A 20099-nucleotide genomic window follows, 5' to 3' on the forward strand; every position below is an offset into this window, starting at 1 on the left:
AGGTCAGCTATTCATGGGAGCAAAATACAGGGGTTTGGTGGAAAAGAGGCAAACTATGCCAAGCATCCTCTGTGTTTGGGGCAGACTAGCCCACGCACATCGACCAGCACCTCTGAGCTGTGTGCCGTAGAACAAGCCACTTGCCTTTTGCCAGGATGAGCAGCTGCCTTGCAGGATTGCCATGTGTTCAGAATTGGACTCAAACCCCACTGAAGCTCACTGCTAAACACTGAGGGGTGGGGGACACAAGAGAGGTCCATCTGCAACCCTAAGAAGCATCCTTTACAGAGCAGACGGCACATTCAGACACATGCCCACAGCGCGGCTCCCTGACTGATGGCTGGCTGGGATAAGGGCAGGTCTGTGAGGACAAGCAGCCTCATCAAGACCATGGGGACAAACAGGAGGCGTCCCCCAAAGCAAATAAGCCAGCAGCCTGAGCAGGACAAAAGCCAGCACTAGAGATGGGCAGGGCTCCCGAGTCGTGACAGCTCTGTCCCTGCTCCCTCTACCGGCTCCTCCCCTCTCAGCCTGCACGTGCTTCTCCCACCTTACAAAGAACCAACTGAAAACGTCCATTAAACTGAATCCATCCCCTCGCTACCAGCTCGCCTTAATTGTCGGGTGGGCTCGGAAGTGCCACAGTAAGAATTAAGCGCCAGAATCTAAGCTGAGCCCCTAAAAAGGCCACACACAGTCAGACGCAGCCAAGGCAGGTCTCACGCTAAGGCGGGTCTCCTGCTGTCCTGCTCCCTCCTCACCTCTGTGTCTCTGCCTCCAGCCATCCCGGCACAGAGTCGAGCACACGGGTTGCTCTTGATGTCTTGGGTGGGAAGTGACGCCTGTCCTCTCTCTTTGGTGAAACCCCATCATGTGGTCCCACCCTGACCGCAGGGGTGGGCTGGGAGAGGCAGAGGAGCTCCTGGCTCTTGCACAAGCACCAAGCTCCTGGCACAGATGCATCCACCTGCGCTTCTGACCCCAGGGCCTTGAAGGAAGTTCGCTGGCTCCTCAGCCACTGCCCCACACGCTTTCCTTCCCTTCCTGGCTACTGAAGCTGCTCTCTTGGAAATCACCAATGACCTGCCAAGTCCAAAGCCTGGCCGGACCTCCAGGGCTGATCGTCCCCTCTCTTGAGGGACTCTTCTGGGCCTCTGTGACCCATATGCCTCCTTGGCCTCTTTCATGGACCCTGGGCCTCTGCCCTCCCTCGTGTGCCAGCCATACCCAGCTGTCTGTCTCCAGATGCCGTGCCTGGTCTGGCTGATGCCGTCCAGGGCTATAGCTGCTGCCTGTGTCACCTGACGAGCCCTAACACCCATTTGCAGCTGACAGTGCCCTGAGCCCAGGCTCCCCTTGGAGCTTGCAGGCCCGGAAACCCGCAAGCTCTGGACAGAACATGCAGCCTCACTGCTTTCCTCCTTGTGCGTCTCTACAGGAGTTGGTGTCTAAAAGGGACAAAGGCACACTCCAGGTGGAGAGGGGCACAAATGAAGTTAAAACCAAGTTAGACAGGGCTGGGACGGGCAGACAGCCTGGCAGAGGAGGGAGGCAGTGTTTGCGCAGGTGGACGGGGTGTGAATTGGGGGGTGAGGTTGGCCCTGATCTGGCAAGCAGTTTGAGTTTTCTGAAGTCTCTAGCAAGGGAATGACATAATAAAAGTGGTGATGGAAACATCTGTGCAGCAGCCGCTTTGACAGATCTGCAATCACAGCTCTAATGGCCACAGGGGACACTTCAGGCCACTGCCCTGGGCCAAAGCCAGAGCGCAGCCCAGCCCAGGAGAGTGATGGAGAGACCAGCGCTCCAGAAGGGAGAAAGGCTGTCCAGAGACCCAGAGGTTGGCGCCCTTCCTTGGATGCTTTTTCATTTTGCTATTTGTCCTTTAAGCTAACAAACACTCAACTCCAGCTCTGATTTGCTGACACCTGAGCTGAGGGCCTAGGGACCTGCTACCCCCGCCCAGTACTTTCTGACTGTCCACCCCCAGTGCCAAGAGCTCTCCACCTGTCAGACGACCCAGGGAGAGCGGGGAAGTGCCTAGAGGCATCCCAGGACTGCGATGGCTACACCACGAGTGCTGTCAACTCCTTAGTTCATGAGTCCTACCAGAAGCCCGGAGACCTCATGACCTATTCACACTGTCCTGCCTCCCACCCAACCATGCTCCCAGGAGCAAGTGGGTCAGGGGCAGAGCCAGGAGGTGGGGGCAGTGTCAGGATGGTCAGGGTTTGGTCCCAGGACGTGGGGGCAGGGCCAGCAGGTGGGGGTAAGGCCTCAAGGTTGTAGAGAGACAGGGACTCCTTCCCCATCTGTGAAGCATGGGGAGGCTGCAGTGGGGACTCCAAGGTAACACACCTGCCCTCTGCCTCACTGAAAACAACAGAAGATCATGGCTGAGAGGCCGAGCATCCTGTCTGCTGTGTGGCCATAGCTTTCCTGGACATTTGCTGTGTCTGTTCTCTGGCTGCTGTCTATGGCCAGGGGGGCTTAAGCAATGGGATTTATCCCTTCACAGTTCTGGAGGCTGGGAGCCTAAGTCAAGGTGTGTGTGAGCCCGCAGTCCATCTGTATTAGTCCGTTCTCACACTGCTAGAAGGAACTACCTGAAACTGGGTAACTTATGCAGAAAAAAAGTTTAATTGACTCACAGTTCTGTAGGCTCTACAGGAAGCATGGCTGGGGAGGCCTCAGGAAACTTACAATCATGGCAGAAGGTGAAGAGGAAGCAGGCACGTCTTACATGGCATCAGGAAGGAAAGAGTGAAGGGGAAGTGCTACACACTTTTCAACAACCAGATCTCGTGAGAACTCATTCACTATCGCCAGAATAGCAATGGGAAGTCTGCCCCTACGATTCAATCACCTCCCACCAGGCCCCTCCTCCAACATGTGGGGATTACAATTCAACAGGAGATTCGGGTGGTAACAAGAAGCCAAACCATATCACCATCTGAAACCTGGGGGAGCCCTTTCTGCCCTGCAGCTTCAGGGATCACAGGCACCAGGGCATCCCCGTCTCAGCTCCACCAGCTCCCTGGGTCTCCGTCATCACTGGGCCTTCTTTTAAGGACACCAGTCATTCTGGACTGAGGGCCCACATGAATGACCTCATCTTAAATAATTACACCTGCCATGACCCTATTTCCAAGTCAGGTCACATTCTGAGGTCCTGGGGGTCAGGACTTCCACAAACCATTTTTGCCGGGAACATCATACAACCCTTAACAGTTACTATAGGATTAAATGAAATCCTACAGTGTATTTTAAAACTCTATCTAATTGCACCTGAAATAAATTCTTCATCTTGTCTAATTCCCCAATTAGCCCTGGCCTGATAACTTGATTTTCATTCCTGTGTGACCCCTGGCACTCCTGACCCACTAACCTGATGCTGATGATGGCATCATGTGTCTGGATTGGGGACCTTCCTAACGTTGACAGGTGATTCATCTGATAATGGTTTTGAGTGGCTATTGTGTGCAGATCCTACTCAGGTATTATAGTATCTCCAGGAACTGTAATAAACAGCAATTTCAGACTCAATTCATCTCCTTTATCTGTGACACTGTGTGAATGGGAACACAATGGACCAAAAGAACACTCAGCCCATGCCAAAATCTCCCAAAGGACACAGAGGTGTCACTGTAACTTCTCACATATGCGCTGCACGAGGACTCGGCTGGGCTGCAGATCTGAAACCTTTGTTCTTCCAACTTCACTTACAGCAGTAAAGCCCATTTATCAAAATCTATTTCCTTTAAATGATGGTAGGAACGGGGAAGAAGTGAGGTGGGGGAGAAACTTACAGGAAGAGTCTTGTCAAAAGGAGACATTTTGGAGTCAACAATGGTAGGTGGGAGGTTGGTGGGAAGTGAAGCTCAAACACAGTTCACTCAACAACCTGTACTCAGTAACAACAGACATGTTCATCTCACTAAAAAGGAGAAAACCAAAGGCGAGGCGCCCAGATCGTGGATAAGTCCCAGGAGAGAGTAAAAGCAGAGTGCTGAGACCAGCTATCACCCTGATTTGGAACACTGGCTCAGGCCACTTTAGAAAGGGGGACTGGGGATGACCTATGCCCAGGCACTAGTGTGTTTCAAGAAAAAGGTGTCAGAGGACTGCAAGTTCACAGACACCTGAAGACAGTGGGGTCTGCTACTGTGTGGGAGGCTCCCTCTCATTTATCCGTCAAGGCCCGCTAAAGTGTCTCCATTTATCACAACACCTCTCCGAGCCAGTCCGGCCTACCACTAACTCATCTTTCTCCAACTCTGTCCGTACCTACGGCCTGTGTTGTTCCATTCAGCACATCAATCGTGGAGAAGGCAGGACATATCCATTCCTTGATAGTCCTATGTCATGGGTTGAATTGTGTCCCTCCAAAAGTCACATGTTGAAATCCTAACTCACAGCACCTCCAAACGTGACCTCATGTGGAAGTAGGGTCATTGAAGATGTGGTTAGCTGAGATGAGGGTTATACTGGAGTCAGAGGGTCCCGTAGTCCAATAGGGATAGTCTCCTTAGAAAAAGGGGAAATTTGAACACAGAGACATGTGCATGGAAAAACCTCTGTGAAGATGAAGGCGGAGACTGGGGGCTGTGCTTCCAAGCCAAGGAATGGCAGTGATGACCAGCACAGACCAGGAGAAAGAACAGACGCATGGAACAGACCCCCTCACAGCCTCAGAAGGAGCCGGCCCTGCCCACACCCTGATTCCAGACTTCCAGCCTCTTGAGATAATAAACTCCCGTTTTGTTTTATTTTGTTAAAGATGGGGTCTCACTCTGTCACCGAGGCTGGAGTGCAGTGGCCTGATCTCAGCTTGCTGCAATCTCTGCCTCCCGGGTTCAAGCGATTCTCCTGCCTCAGCCTCCCGAGTAACTGGGATTACAGGCATCTGCCACCATGTGCGGCTAGTTTTTGTATTTTTAGTAGAGATGGGGTTTTACCATGTTGGCCAGGCTGGCCTCAAACTCCTGACCTCAAGTGATTGGCCCGACTTGGCCTTCCAAAGTGCTGGGATTACAGGCGTGAGCCACCATGCCCAGCCAACTTCTGTTGTTTAATGCACGCAGTTTGTGGTGCTGTTATAGTGGCCCTACCAAATGAATACACCTGTCATGATTTGTAGTCATCCACACTCGCTTAGATATCAGTGCATGTGAGTGAGGCTCAAAGAGTACCAGCTAATTGTTAAATCCTGTGGCAAGTCACTCTGTGACGTGAGTCATTACTCACTGACTTTTTTGAAACCAAATGTTTCTGTCTTAGACCTGCTCAAAGGAAGAACTGGCCAAAAGCTCTGGTTCCTCTTATTCTGATTATGGAGCCAGAGTTAAGTGCTGCTGCCCAGAGATTCTCATTTCTCCACAGCCTCCTTTTTCTCTCAGCCATTTTCCTCTAGAAGCAGAGCCTGAGGCAAGGATTAAGATCAAGGTGAGGTAGGGCAGGAGAAGCAGCAATGAAATGAGTTGTCATGCTGGCTGCTGATGCATGACAAGCTGCAAATAATAACATAATAATCAGAATAAAGAGCAGGGGAGCTTAGAAAGCATGTTCACTTGGCTCATGGGACTCCTCCAGGAGGGTTCTAGAAAGGAACTATATGTGGGGGGATCCATAGCCATCATCAAGGAGGAGGTTTCTGCCCAGCTTCCTCAAAGCCACAGTTCCTACTGGTCAAGTATTACTCTGTGGAGAGCTAAACTCCCCCAAACTTCTAGGCTGTATCATGCAGCCCCTTGTCATCATTCATGAGGCCAAACTTCCTGCCCAAATTTTAGGATATTCTTGAGGTAAGGGGAATACGCCTGCAATGACCCCACCAAAACCCCATTAGCAACGGCAAAGCTTAAATAAATCAGAAGCTTCATCAATAAAGTTTAGAACTCTTGTTCTTCAAGATCTCTCTTCCTATTCTTTCTTTCTTTCTTTTTTTTTCTGGAGATAGAGTCTCACTCTATTGCCCAGGCTGGAGTGCACTAGCACGATCCTGGCTCACTGCAGCCTCTGTCTCCTGAGTTCAAGCGATCCTCCTGCCTCAGCCTCCCTTAGTAGCTCGGATTACAGGCACATGCCATCATACCTGGCTAATTTTTATATTTTTAGTAGAGACAGGGTTTCGCCATGTTGGCCAGGCTGCTCTTGAACTCCTGGGCTCAAGTGATCTGCCCACCTCAGCCTCCCAAAGGGCTGAGATTGTAGGCGTGAGCCACTGCACCTGGCCAGTCTTCAAGATTTTTCCAAACAGACCAAGAAGGCTGCAGTTGGTGCCAGGACTAAGTCAATGGACAAGGACAGCCCGTGCCTGAAGAAACAGCGACTCTGTAGCCTTGCTCTTTCTTCCCATCCTGGGCCACTGTGTCATGATTCTTACCCACTCCTAATCCAATCCCCACTTGCAAGACCTCAACAGACTTGGAGTTCTAATGCACTGTGGCCTTCCTGTCCCCCTGAGATGCTCCAAAGCTCCATGGAGGGTGTCCCCCCAGTGCAGGGAGCAATGATGCTATCTGGTTTTACCAAAGGGCTGTGTCAGCTGTGCTGGGCAGGCAGCTTTCTACAGTGTTTTACTGCATTTAAGAGTCACAAGAAGAAACTAACCCAGGCAGAAAGGCTGTGAACAAACCTCAGTCAAGCAAAGAAGAGAAGACAAGTGAAAGTAAACATCAAAGAAAATGGCCCAGGAACTTTGAATGCAGTTGATGCTGTGGTTGTAGACTGCGCTGGGTTAGACAGTGCCCCCACTAATTCATTTCCTTTCCAGAACCTCAGAAGGTGACCTTATTTGGCAACAGAGTCATTGCAGATGTAGTCACTTAAGTTGAGGTCGCAGTGGAGTAGGGTGGGCTCTTAATCTCCTTTGACTGCTGTCACTTTAAGAAAAGAAAAAGAGACAGACACACACAGAGGAAGGCCACAGGATGATGAAGGCAGAGGCTGAAGTTACGCATCTACGAGCCAAGGAACCCCAGGGTTTGTGGGCAACTGCCAGAAGCTAGGAGGGAGGCCTGGAACAGAGCCCTCCCAGAGCCTTCAGAGGGAGCATGGTCCTGCTGACACCCTGATTCCAACTTCCAGCCTCCAGAATTGTGGGAACAGGAATCCGGGCAGCTTAGGCCATGCAGCCTGTGGTGCCTGTGTGACAGCCCCTGAAACTAACCTGTGGGCCATGAAGGCACGGATGCTGCAGCCGCATCTGGGGAGGTGTGGCGGAAACACGAGGTGGGCAGGTGGCACTGCTTGCGGGGCTGGGGTGCTGGGCTGACATGGCCGAGGGTGCACCCCCACCCCATAGAGTGGGCACCTAACCTGCTGGCCCCAGAGTGCGTGTGTCCACTGCTAGGGACCACGGAGGCCAAATTCAGTACCTTTTGAGAAATAAAGCTAAAATTCTAAGCCCCTAACCAACTGAAAGAACCCCCTCTTGGCCACGGGGACCCCAGAAAAACCTTAAAACTGAGTTCCCGGCCATAATGGGATGAGAGGTCGGATGTGCCTCATTACACCCCCTCCCTTGCTAACCACCATTAGGCTTCCTTCCCCAAGGGTTAAATGGAAACCTGCCCTTTTGAAAGACTTGCTCCATTCCTGAGATCAACCAGCTGTCTGATGCTGCCCCTTCCTTTTGCAGGTTCGACACAACCGACCAGCATTCCTTCCTGATAAGAGACCCCTGACCATGGAGTGGCTCTGACTAGCCTATGGAGGCTGCACACAGACAGTCTTCGCATCCTTGGCTTCACCCTCTGACATATAGGGCCTACTGTAATCCATTTAAAGGTTAAGTCTCCACCCCAGCGTGAACATGGATGCATGCTGCACACAATTAGCCAATTATGCATGTCTATGCTTCCTCTTTGTGAATATTCATAGCTCCTCCTATAACCTGTTGAATATGTACATTTGGCCACGCTGTTCAGCATAAATCCCTGTCTTCCACTCTCGCAGTGCCTGTTTCCAGCATCTGGCTAGAGACTATGCTTCCCAGCCTGTCAGAATGGTGACCTGCTGGCTGCAGCCTTTTTAAAGAAGTGATCCTTTCCAAATGTAGGAACCTTATCATTCTTCAACTGACACTTTGCTGGTCACTGAGCAAGGTGTGCTGGGAGGAGTGAGGGCTCTGAGGTCTCGCAGGTTTTCTGGGGAGCTTGATTCTTATGGAGTGACCTACAAATAGCACATGTATTGAAAACACATCAACCAGTCTCAGAGCAGCCCTGTCTCTTGGGTTTTAGGAGTTCGACCTGGAGCTGTAGGGGGGTGAGATAGAAAGTGGCCTCCCTCCTGGAGAACCCAGTGAACAAACCACCATGCCCCACGCCCCATCCCCGACTTTAGCATTAAGCGTTGCAGAGGCTGAGAAGTAGGGGTTCCAGCCACGGTTGGGTCTTGTGTTGACCATTTTCCAGTGCAACCACAGGCTCCCTAAGATTCAAGCAGCACTGTGGGCTTATGACCTCACACATTTACCATTGCAGAAATTATGCCAAAGCATGATCAAATTATCTGCCCACAATGTATAGGTTGCTTACAAAAATAACCAGCCCTCCTCTGTTCCTTACTTCAGGCTCTAAGATCTGCCTGATTTCTACTACTGTAAGAACATAGAAAGTAATCTCATTACATGCATGATTTTTACCCTATCTTCATTCCAGCTATGTTATTCTTTATGCTTTTCCCTTAGCTAAAATTTCGATTTCCGCTTTACATTTTTGGCATTTTAAAATAAAACATTATATCACTTCTATCAGCACCACGTTTCTTGTCTTTCCAAGTCTGCTGATGCTTTCAAAATCCCCACGTCCCAAACTCAGCACCATTAAATTGGAGTGAGGCTGGTGGTGGAATGGGAGGTGGGTGCTTAGGGATTATTCCACTTCCTCCTTTCCTCCTGCACTCTGTTCCAAAGCCAGAGAGCTCCGTGTCCTTTTGCTGTATCTGAACAACTGTGGGAGGAATCATTTTGTATGCATGCAGTACACACAATGCCATCTTTCCTAGAAGTCTCAGGCTCTGGGGTATATATCAATATCACCTGAGGAGCCTGTTAAAACTTTCGATTCCAAGACTCAGGCCATTGAGTCATTCGCTTCACTGGTTTGTAAATATCTTTGTACATTAGGGATATTAGTCCTCCATCAATTCATCATCTCCTTCTGGTCTAGCACGTGTTTTTCACGTTTATATTGTTGTTTTGTTTCATTTTCTATTTGGAGTGGGAAGCTGTATGGAAGTGGTCATCTTGATGTCATCAATGATAATTGCCTCTGTCCCTTCACAGTTTCTGGACCCGGTCGGGCTTACATATGACCCACTGAAATCCCTGGGTCAGTATAGCCATCATCTTGTATTCAGAAGCATCAGCCCACATTTTAGAAAGCATTGAAAAACAAGTTAAGTTGTTGGTGAATTAATTTCAAACAATTTGCTCAGTGCCTTCAGGCGCCATTCTAGACCCTGAGAAAGCTTTGAATAAAACAGAATTCCTGTCCTCAGACAGTTTACACTCTGGTGGGGAGAGACAGGCAAGTGAACCAGTAAATAGACAGTATATCCTGTGGGGAATCAGTAGTGTAGATGCCTGCAAGGAGATTGCTACTACTTTACCCAGGGTGTCAAAGGAAGGCCTTTCTACTAAGGTGAGTCCTTTCAGGAAATCTGAAGAGGTGTCTGGAGAGGCTGCCTGGGAGCCAGCGGTGTGCTTATATTCCCAACACACATAATGCCCCTTTCAGGGGGTCATCTCTTCTATCCCTCTCCCACCATCCTACACAGCACAAGAACTGGGCTTCAATCTCTGGTATGACGCTCCCAAACTCTCCAAAATCTTCTCCAACCAAAACTCACCTTCTAGAATCTTCCCTTCACTCACCTGGACCCCCGTTATGCATTTCTCTCTTAGACATTCTTCATTCTTTCTAACAGGAATGCATCCAGCTCTCCTCTACCTCATCAATATAGCAAAGCTCTGAGAATCAAGCCTGCAAACTTTGAGAGAAGGCAAGAAAGGCTGTGGATATTTATATCACAAACAAACATATTTTTTGCACCTTCTAGAAAGGCCTGACATCCCAAGATTTAGATATTCAAATGTTTTGGAGGTACATTACTTAAAACACTTAAAGTTTAGTTCCACACGGAAATTATTTTGGTGTGACCAAGAGCCAGGTGTGGTGGTTCACACCTAAATCCCAGCACTTTGGGAGGCTGAGGTGGGAGGATCGCTTGAGTACAGGAGCTTGAGACTAGCCTGGGCAATACACTGAGACCCAATTTCTACAAAAAGTTAAAAAATTAACCAGGCATGGTGGTGTGCATCTGCAGTTCCACCTATTGCGGGCAAAGGGCAGGAGGATCGCTTGAGCCTGGGAAGTTGAGGCTCTGCAGTGATTCTGCCACTGTACTCTGGCCTGGATGACAGAGACCCTGTCTCTAAATGAATGAAAGAAAGAAAGAAAGAAAGAAAGAAAGAAAGAAAGAAAGAGAGAGAGAGAGAGAGAGAGAGAGAGAGGGAGGGAGGGAGGGAGGGAGGGAGGGAGGGAGGGAGGGAGGGAAGGGAAGGGAAGGGAAGGGAAGGAAGGAAAGGAAGGAAAGAAGGGAAGAAAGGAAGGAAGGAAGGGAAGCAAGGAAGGAAGGAAGGAAGGAAAGAAAGAAGGAAAGAAAGAAAGGAAAGAAAGGAAGGAAAGAAAGGAAAGGAAAGAAAGAAGGAAAGAAAGAAAGAAAGAGAAAGAAAGAGAGAGAAATGACCAAGGAGCCACTTTTATCTATTTTTTCGTAAATGGCTAGCTGGCTATCCCATTATTGGTTTATAGATCCCTAAGATCTATTCCATTAAAGCAGAGTCTCAGCACCTGGACTAAAAGTGGACTTCGGAGTTCAACCACCTGACTTCACATTTTGGCTTTACCACTTGGTAGCTGTGTGGCCTTTGTTCCACAACTTAAGCCCTCGTGCCTCAGTTTCTAGTTTGGTAAACATTGTACAAATAGAAGAGTTGCTATGAAGATTGAAAGAATTACATACAATGCACTTAGAACACACACAGACTTTTATAAGGAGCAAAATTTAGCAACACGACATTAGATCATTCTGGAGGTCCTGCCTTGCTGACTGTGTAAGATTCTTTTTGCTTTTTTAAAAGACTTTAATCTTATTATTGGCAGTTCATGAACACACAGACATGCACTTTCCTTTCCTCATCTCCAAAGGCAAGATCACCCTAAACCAACTTGCAAAATCTTTTGAAGCTAAAGATTCACTGTTCTGGAAGCTCCTGCAGCCACTCAGCCACGTAATAATTCTTGTGGCACAAGGTCAGCCAGGTAAACATTTCAGGCTTTGTAGGCCATGGGGTCTCTGTTGCACCTGCTCAGTTCTGCTGTTGAAGTGTGGAAGCGGCAGGAGAGGAACACACAGATGGGCGTGACTGTGTCTCCATGACAGCTTTGTTTACAAAAAGAGGTGGCACGCCAGATTTTGTCCCGGGGCTGATTTTGTCATTTGCTGACTGCTGCATTAGAGGGAGAGACGGAAAAGTGGGGCATTGTTTTGGTTGGGGTGTTTGACTCTGATCATCAAAGGGAAGTAGGTTTGATATTCCATGGTGGCTAGGAGTATGATGAGAACGCCAGCCACACTACGAATCCTCACGCTACTGTACCTCTGACCAGAGGCAAATGTTAGTGAAAGACTACGGCAACTCCATACAGGCAGCCTCTGAGAGGTAAGATCCTTCCAGAAGAAAGGTCTGGTTCTCTTCCCTGGGCAAAAAACACCAGCCAGCCTAGGTACTTGCTGGTCCCAAGATCAGCTGTGGAATCCAGAACCATGGTCCCCATCTGTGTTCCCCCTCCTGTCTTAGAGTGTCTTAGAAGATTGAATTACCTCTTTTTCCTTTTTCATTTCTCCCTCTGAAATGACAGTGATCATAATTTTCATCTTCCTGCTTTCTTTCCCCTTAATAATATAAAACAGTGTTTATCGGCCAGGCACAGTGGCTCACACCTGTAATCCCAGCACTTTGGGAGGCTGAGGCAGATGGATCACTTGATGTGAGGAGTTTGAGACCAGCCTGGCCAACATGGCGAAACCCTGTCTCTACTAAAAATACAAAAATTAGCCAGGTGTGGTGGCGGGCGCCTGTAATCCCAGCTACACAGGAGGCTGAGGCATGAGAATCGCTTGAACCCAGGAGGTGGAGGTTGCAGTGAGCCGAGATCTCGCCATTGCACTCCAGCCTGGTGACAGAGTGAGACTCCATTTCAAAAAAACAAAAAAGAAAAAGAAAGAAAACAGTGCTTATCAAGCTCTGGTGTATATCAGTATTACCTGAGGAGCCTGTCAACACTTTAGATTCTATGTTTGTCATGTAGGCCATAAATTATAGGACAGAAAGATGAGATGCAAATAGAACATGAGGAGAAGTGGGCATTACCTTGAGACAGAAGACTCAGAAAACAGGGGATCATAGCCACATCCTCCTTAATGTCAAGGCTGGATGTGAGGCTGCATCGCCCTCCATGGGGGAAGCAGCTTACACAATTGTATGTAGGCTCGTTGGGCCACGTGTGATGAGGGCATCCTTGCGTGCATGCACACATGCTGGCCAAGGAGGGTGGGATGCCACAGTCCCCTTTGGATTGCCAACTGGACCTCTTATCCTGGAACTTCCCGCCCTACCTCCTGGTTCTTGGTCATTCTGTTTCTCCTGCGTGATCCTACCCCCCACCCCGCCCTGATTGATTCAGGGATCCTAACTGGGCTAATCAGATATCCTGCGACAAGGCATTTAGGACAGTAAATGGAGAGAGACACAGACTAGGACTTCTCTGGATCTCTTGGAAAGATCCACGAATTCTTGCTGCTGAGGCCTCAGGGCCAGTCTGGTTCCTTCCCTTCCTGAGTCCTGAGGGTTCAGCTCTTTTTGGAATTCCGTAAATGCCCCCAAATCCTTCCAACACATTGTTTGCTTGTTAAAAAAGTGGTCGTGTGAATATAAAAGAAGAGGGACGAAAACTGGATTCAGAAAGGCTGGAAATGTATCCCTTAATGCCTTTTGTCCAGATTTGGTTCAAAGGCTTCTAGCAGCCAGTGCAGACAGAGGAAATGCGCTATTACACGATTAATGTCTGCTAGAGACAAAAGCAGTCCCGTTGATCAGAAGTTCAGCTATTCTTGGTACCAAGACCAGACAGCAAGTTCCTCCCAGGGGCCTTGTGTAATGAACGAAGTCTTCATGACATCCCTCCAGTGGACACAGTGGCTTTCACGGGGCTGTTTCTTCCCAAGACCCTCCAGATGGGCCGATGGCATTACTCACAGGCTCAATTTCATGAAGTTAGTTCTAGGGCAGTGGGGGAGCAATCTACAGTCTGGGAACCCTGATCCAGGAATAGATTTCAAGTACGGAGAAAAGCAGACAGATTTTGCCTCCTCCAGGCCAGCCTCATGCCAGGCACAAATGAACGGCCATCTGGAAGGAGCTCAGGGTGACCTCCCAGTCAAGTAACACCACAGCACAGAGACCTGGAGCTTCGTGCCTTATCAGCCATAGGGCTCGGGGAGGGATGGCTTCTTTCAGGGAAAGCCAAGGAGCTGGCCTCACTGATTCTCAAGGGCACCAACATGAGCAATTGCCCTGGGGACCAGGCTTGCTCTGTTCTGAACTCCCCATCCCAGGGGGCTTCTCTGAAGAAGCCATGCCCCCACCCCAACCTAATCAATCCTTGCCCTTGTGAGTAGCTGAGAGCCATGTCATAGCCTTCCTGAGCCCGGCCCCTGGCTGTCTACCCCGATGGTGTAACCGGGCTGTAACAGGCTCTGCCTTCTCCATAGTACCTGACAAGCCAGAAGAGTGAACCTGGGGATTTTCTACCAAGGACATTGAAGGGCCTTGGAAATACTCAACAGAAAAAGGCAGCCGAAAGGAGCCAGGAGTCAGGCCTGTCTTCAGTGGCCAACGTCCCACCATGTCCACCAACAATAAAGAGCTGCAGTGCCTGACTCCCTGTGTCCCAAGGGAGGGCCCAGGCCCCGGGTACACACGGGCCCCAGCAGGCAGCCCCAGGTCCCGCTCCCTTCGCAGCTGTCTGCACTTCTGCCATAGGAAAAAAGCAATTCACAGGCTCACTGAGCTCACAGACCACACTCAGGCCTGGAGGAAGGCGCAGATGGCAGGCCCAGCCGGGGCAGTGCAGGCACCCTAGGTGAGGAAGCAGCAGTTTTAAGTTTCTGGAATGAGAGGTAGCTGAGGGGCTCATATACCCCAGTGTGTGGATTAGGGGCACAGGGGTGTGGAGCTATGAGTGGACTGTGGGCCCCTACCCAGCAATGAGGCCTTCAGGTACATTGCAGAGGATGATCAGGGGCCTCACAGTCTCTGCTTCTGAGCCCCAGCCTCATCCCCAGGACCCCTTGGGTGCTGGACACTGCCGGGGTGAGGCCTCCCGAAGGTACAGCCCCCACATTCCTCAGCCCGCAGCTGGAGCTCCTGCAGTACAGGAGATGGGTTGGGGGACTCACTCTCTGACTCCACCTGCCTGTCTCGGCCCCTGGCTTTAAGGAAAGGGTGGAGGGGAGTCTGGGAGCTTCCTCCTGTGCAGACCACAGGCCCCAATGGAAGGGGCCATGGCCAGGTTCAGCATGGGCCCCGAGGTCTAGCTCTTCACTGCGGCAGCACCCCATGTGGACACCAGCAGAGTCATCCCCAGGCCTGTGCCTGCGTTCCCTCACTGTGAGCACAGTGTCTGCTGGGACCCGCTGAGATCCAGAGGGGCTGGGAGTCTTGGATCCACCTCTGATAGAGGTTGAGTGTTTCTTCCCCGCTCTCAGGTTGAAATTGGATCCCCGGTGTTGGAGGTGGGGCCCCGTGGGAGGTGTTTGGGTCCTGGGGGCAGATGCCTCATGAATGGCTGGGTTGCCTCCCTGCGGCAGTGAGTCCTGCTCTCTTAGCTGGGTGCTTTAAAGACTCCAGTACCTCCCCCCTCTCTCTTGCTCCCTTGCGTGTGAGCTCTGCATACCCCGGCTTTCCTTCGCCTTCCTCCATGAGTGGAAGCAGCCTGAAGCCCTTGCAAACACCTTGGCAGAGATCACGACAGCAGGAGAAGGTCCAGCCTGGCCCACTCCATCCTGCATCCAGCCTCACAGGCTGGCTGGCTTTGCTCATTACCTGGGCGGAGGCCAAGCTAACAAAGGGAGGAATTTAGTTTATAGTTTAATTTGAAAGCAAGGATGATAATAGTACCTCCCTGAAACCAACTGTTCCTTGCTCAGGGACTGAAAACCAGCTTTGTGAGATGAATGAAAGACCACAGATTAGGATTATGGGAGGGGCCTGAACCGGGCTAACATGCAGGTGTAGTTTCTATGATCTCGTACTGCTCTGGGGTCATGGAGCCAGAGGTCACAAGACTTGCAACTTCCCCAGTTGCTCCTGTAGATAGTATCACTATTTAACACCTAAGATTGGTCTTTTGAGATAATTTTTTAGACTTGAATTCTGGCAACCAATGGACCCCACCCAGACCCATGACTCATGACTCAGCTGACCCTGTGGCCCTCACCTAGAGGCCGACTCAGTGCTGGAGGCCCGTTTCCACACCACTGTGATCTCATCCCCAACCAATCAGCAGTGCCCGTTCCCTAGCCCCCTGCCCATCAAATTGTCCATAAAAACCCTAAGCTCTGAGCCTTTGGGGAGACTGATTTGAGTGATAGCTCCATCTCCCATGTGGCTGGCCTCACATTAAACATTTTACTACAATACCAAGATCTCGGTGAATTGGTTTTATCTGTGCAGTGGGCATGAGGCTCCCACTGGATGGCTGTGCCCTCCCCAGAAGCAGATGCTGGCACCATGCCTCTGTGCAGCCTGCAGAACCATGAGCCAAATAAACCTCTTCCCTTTATAAATGACCCAGCCTCAGGTACTCCTTTATAGCAATGCAAAATGGAGCAACACCGCCTCCCATCCTGGACCTCCACACTCAGCCATCTGTAGGTTCTCCCCATGCCTTCTCCAAGCCCTGCTACATCCCAGCATTCCCCAGCTAGCCCTTAAGGCTGAGCACGGGGCCTTGGCTGTCCCCAGGCATTCCTGGTGGCTCAACTCTTTCTTCTGCTGTTACCAACACCCGCAACTTCTGTTCCACATCTCGCCACCGCCCCAAAGCTCAGGTCTGGGAGCTTGACATTTTTTTCAAGATGTATTCATTTTTAATTACCAATAAGTGAAGCTAGTCTCAAAAAATTGGAATATCAGATAAAGCAACATTTTCCTTCCACCCATCCACTCCTAATTCTTCACTTAGAAGCTACCACTAGCAGTCCAATGCATGTCCTTTTAAAAAATAAAAAAGGTATATATGTGTGTACACACATACATATATGCACATACATACACACATACATCTATACAAATCCAAAACACACACACACACACCCATATATGCTGTGTTCAAATTATTATATGCATATGCTTTCTTCCCCCATAAATGCTTTCCTTACAGTCCCTTCTAGCTTTGATTATCTGTCTGTCTGCAATTCTGTCAGTTACTGAAAGAAAACAGTTGAAAGAGATTGAAAATCTAAACATAAATAACAATGAAAGATAGTGAAAAGGAGGAATACTTTAAGAAATTGATATGGTTTCAAAAAGAGATTTTTCCAGACCCAGTTTCTAAAAGAACAGCTCATTTCCCAGGCTGAACAGTGGACAGCACCAAACCTCCCACCAAATGCTGTACTGAGCTGCAGCCTAGGCCCTGAGGACTGAACAACTTCTCCTGCACCTCCTGGTGCCACTGCTGGGCTCCCAAAGGGACCCTCTGCCTGCAGGGACCCTCCTCCTCCTCTCCCCGCTCCTCCCTCTCACCCTCTCCTCCCACCCCCATGGAGGGCTCTGTGCAGGAGAATGATGTAGAGGGAGGCGGAGGGTGATGGTTCCTGCCAGAGCTTCAAGACCTTCCCATGGGAGCCAGCTCACAGCTCCTACACTCCTTTGGGCACCCTTCCGATCATCAGGTTCCCTGTGCTGCTCTCCGCCCCGCTCAGAAAGCCTGCCCTGTCCTAACTGAGCACAGGCAGTACCATGGAGACAATCTCGTCCTTTCTTCTGAAGCCTGCTTGCCTCTGACTAGGAGCCCTTGAAGGCAGGAATCCTGTCTTTTCATCCACCAATTCCAGCACATTCAATCTACACAACATCGCAAGTTCCCCAACAAGGCAAACTGCGCACACATCCTCCTTCTCTTTGACAAATCCCACCTGTGTGACGTGGAGCCCTCACGCAGCTTTCCCATCAGGACGGGCCTGATTTCCTTCCTCTGTACAGCACTTTGATCCCTCATCTCTAGACGATGTTTATACAAGGAGATGGGGAAAGAAAGGGGCACCTTAAGGCTAAAGTGCACAAACTTAAAGGAAATTGTGACAACCCCACAGCCTTGAGTGAGGGGTGTGTGTAGAGCATGGTCAGGACCTGCCCCCCACAACACACACACAACCCACAGGCGGGAGCACCTTCATTTGTTTTATGTAGAAAGACGAAGTGCAAAATCTGTCCAAGAGATAGATCTGCTCCACTCACACAGAATACGGCCACCATCCCCTCCACCTCCAAGGTGGTGGATGAAGTAGTGAGGCTGACAGAGACCTGGCTTCTCGTCCTACAGCCACTGCTGCCTGATGGAAGAGTTCGAAGTCAGAAACACCGAAATTCCCCTCTTGCTGCCGCCTGGCCTTGCAGATATAAAGCGTTGCTCTAACACACAGTATTGCCAGTCTTTCTGAGTAAAAGTCAGCCTGGAGAGAAAGGTGAACTATCCCAGGCCTCTGATGGTCAAGGACAAATTTGTTTTCCACATCACTATCTTCCCCAATACAAATGTTCTAAGTCAGTAGAAAGAACTGGAAAGAATAGACAAAGGAAAGGAGAAAGTAAACGCCATAAACTTTCTAGTTCGTGGTATATTTCATATTATCATCGACGGCGCTCAAATGAAAATACCTTATCCTCAGATCACAAACACTAATGAACCTACGGAACTCTTTCTTAAACACTCACATTTCCTCCTTCCATTTCCCCAGCAAATCCCTCCTAGCTTCCATTCCCTGCTGCCCAGAGCCCCAAACAGAAAAAGTTAGGATTTGCCAGAAACAGGTGTAGTCAAACCCTCAAATACCAAACCACAGAGAGTGGAAGCCATATCAGGCTGACCAAAGCAGTATGGTCCCGTGGCCCCGGGTGAGGGCCTAAGCTTGGCTCCATGCCTGCAGTTTCCAGAGAAGGCTGGAGGCAAGTGTGTCATCTGATTGTCCATACAAGCTGTACTGTGAGTATCAGGATGTTTACAGTTAACCCAAGGACCTTGCTGGACCAGAAGGATTACGCTTTGATAGATTAGCATGGGAAGAAAGTGACAGGTGGAAACTGATGTTCTGGAGAGAGATTTGTTTAGGGGGAAGTGGGGGTGGGGAGAAACAGATACAGGCACTCAGCACCAAGCTGCTCACAGCCACCTGGCAGCTTCGGTGCCACCGTGGATGTGTGGCTGCAGAAGAGACCCCCAGCACCCCAGCACCCACCTGAAACAATAGCATCAAGGTCTTACTTTTTCTGGAGCGGGAGAAAAACCTGATGCCCCCGGGCGAGGTAGCAGGGTTGGAGTTGGGGGAAGACTCTTTGGAGGAGGAGCGGAAGATCCCACTGAAGCTCATGCGTCGAGGGGAGCGTGGCGGGGACTCCTGGTAGGAGAACGGGAACACGGTTTTGGGAGAGCCGGGGCTGGTCTTGGGCCTCACAGGTGCAGACATGGGGCTGGAGGGCCGGGGCTGGGGGCCTCTGGAGAAGAACCCTTTGGAGGGGCTGCCCGGGCCGAAGGGGCTGTCCACCTGCAGAAAAACAGACGAATGGATGCAGTCACTCCACGCTCTGGACACGCTGCCTCCTGCCCTGTATGAAACTTATCATTGTCCTCTCTCACATGCGGGCCCCCCATAGTACCCTCCCAGAGAAACAGCCCTAAGCTCTTCCACAGAGGTAGCCACTGAATGGTCTGCAGGTAGCACCTGCCCCAAGGATGGCCCCTCACAGGCTGGCAGCACCACGTCCTGGAGGTCCACTGACCATCCTGTCCCACTCCTTAGAAGGGGCTTCCAGGAGGTAGAGGGGAGGAAGGGAAGCGGAGCTCAAAATGAGCGTCTCCCTCCTTTATTATGGGCCTGCCTGCCTTCACCTCTCAAGACCTCACGTCCATCCAAGTTCTGACCACACAGGACTGCAGTCCTCTTGCCTGCCTATAAGATCCCTATGTTCCAGAACAGAGCGGGCCTGGAGCTCCATCCTGAGACCTCAGTCCTAGGTGATGATGAATTTTTCACCTCCAAGCTGCTTCAGCATTTGAAAGACTGAGGTTGCCAACAGAAGTCAGGAGAAAAGTTCACAAAGCCAGCCGGGTACGGTGACTCACGCCTGTAATCCCAGCATTTTGGAAGGCCGAGGCGGGTGGATCAACTGAGGTCAGGAGTTTGAAACCAGCCTGGCCAACATGGTGAAACCCCATCTCTACTAAAAATAAAAAAATAAAAAAAAAATTAGCTGGGCATGGTGGCGGGCGCCTGTAATCCCAGCTACTCAGGAGGCTGAGGCAGGAGAATCTCTTGAACCCCGAAGGCGGAGGTTGCAGTGAGCCGAGATGGCGCCATTGCACTCCAGCCTGGGCAACAAAACGAGACTCCATTTCAAGAGAAAGGAAAGAAAGGAAGGAAGGAAGGAAGGAAGGAAGGAAGGAAGGAAGGAAGGAGGGAGGGAGGGAGGGAGGGAGGGAGGGAGGGAAGGAAAGAAGGAAGGAAGGAAGGAAGGAAGGAAGGAAGGAAGGAAGGAAGGAAAGAAAGAAGGAAAGAAGGAAGTTAACAAAGCCCCAAACCTCTGAGACTCACTTCACCAATGATTTAAAATTCTAGTCATGGCTTAAAAAATTATCAGACCCCATAACTTTAAGCCAAGGCACAGAGCTCATAGCAGACTTTGAGAAATATCTCACGTGCCCGCAGCCGTGTTCCTGCTGGATGCGTGGAGGAGCTCCTGCCCT

General features: G+C 50.3%; 1 protein-coding gene across 17 annotated transcripts in view; it reads right to left on the reverse strand.

Moving 5' to 3' along the window:
• PRKAG2 (protein kinase AMP-activated non-catalytic subunit gamma 2) overlaps window positions 1-20099 on the reverse strand; it is a 320989-nt gene that overhangs the window by 206405 nt on the left and 94485 nt on the right. For 15 of the 17 annotated variants that reach the window (NM_001407031.1, NM_001407030.1, NM_001407023.1 and 12 more), the window contains one exon: window positions 18621-18900. The exons of 1 other annotated variant lie outside the window; for it this stretch is intronic. In NM_001407031.1, the coding sequence (NP_001393960.1) occupies window positions 18621-18900 (280 nt within the window). Of the gene's footprint in view, window positions 1-18594; window positions 18901-20099 lie in introns of all 17 variants that reach the window. One more of the 17 variants, NM_001407033.1, reaches the window with a different exon arrangement.

The sequence above is a fragment of the Homo sapiens genome, chromosome 7 (assembly GCF_000001405.40).
Source record: "Homo sapiens chromosome 7, GRCh38.p14 Primary Assembly".
NCBI classification, from domain to species: Eukaryota; Metazoa; Chordata; class Mammalia; order Primates; family Hominidae; genus Homo; species Homo sapiens.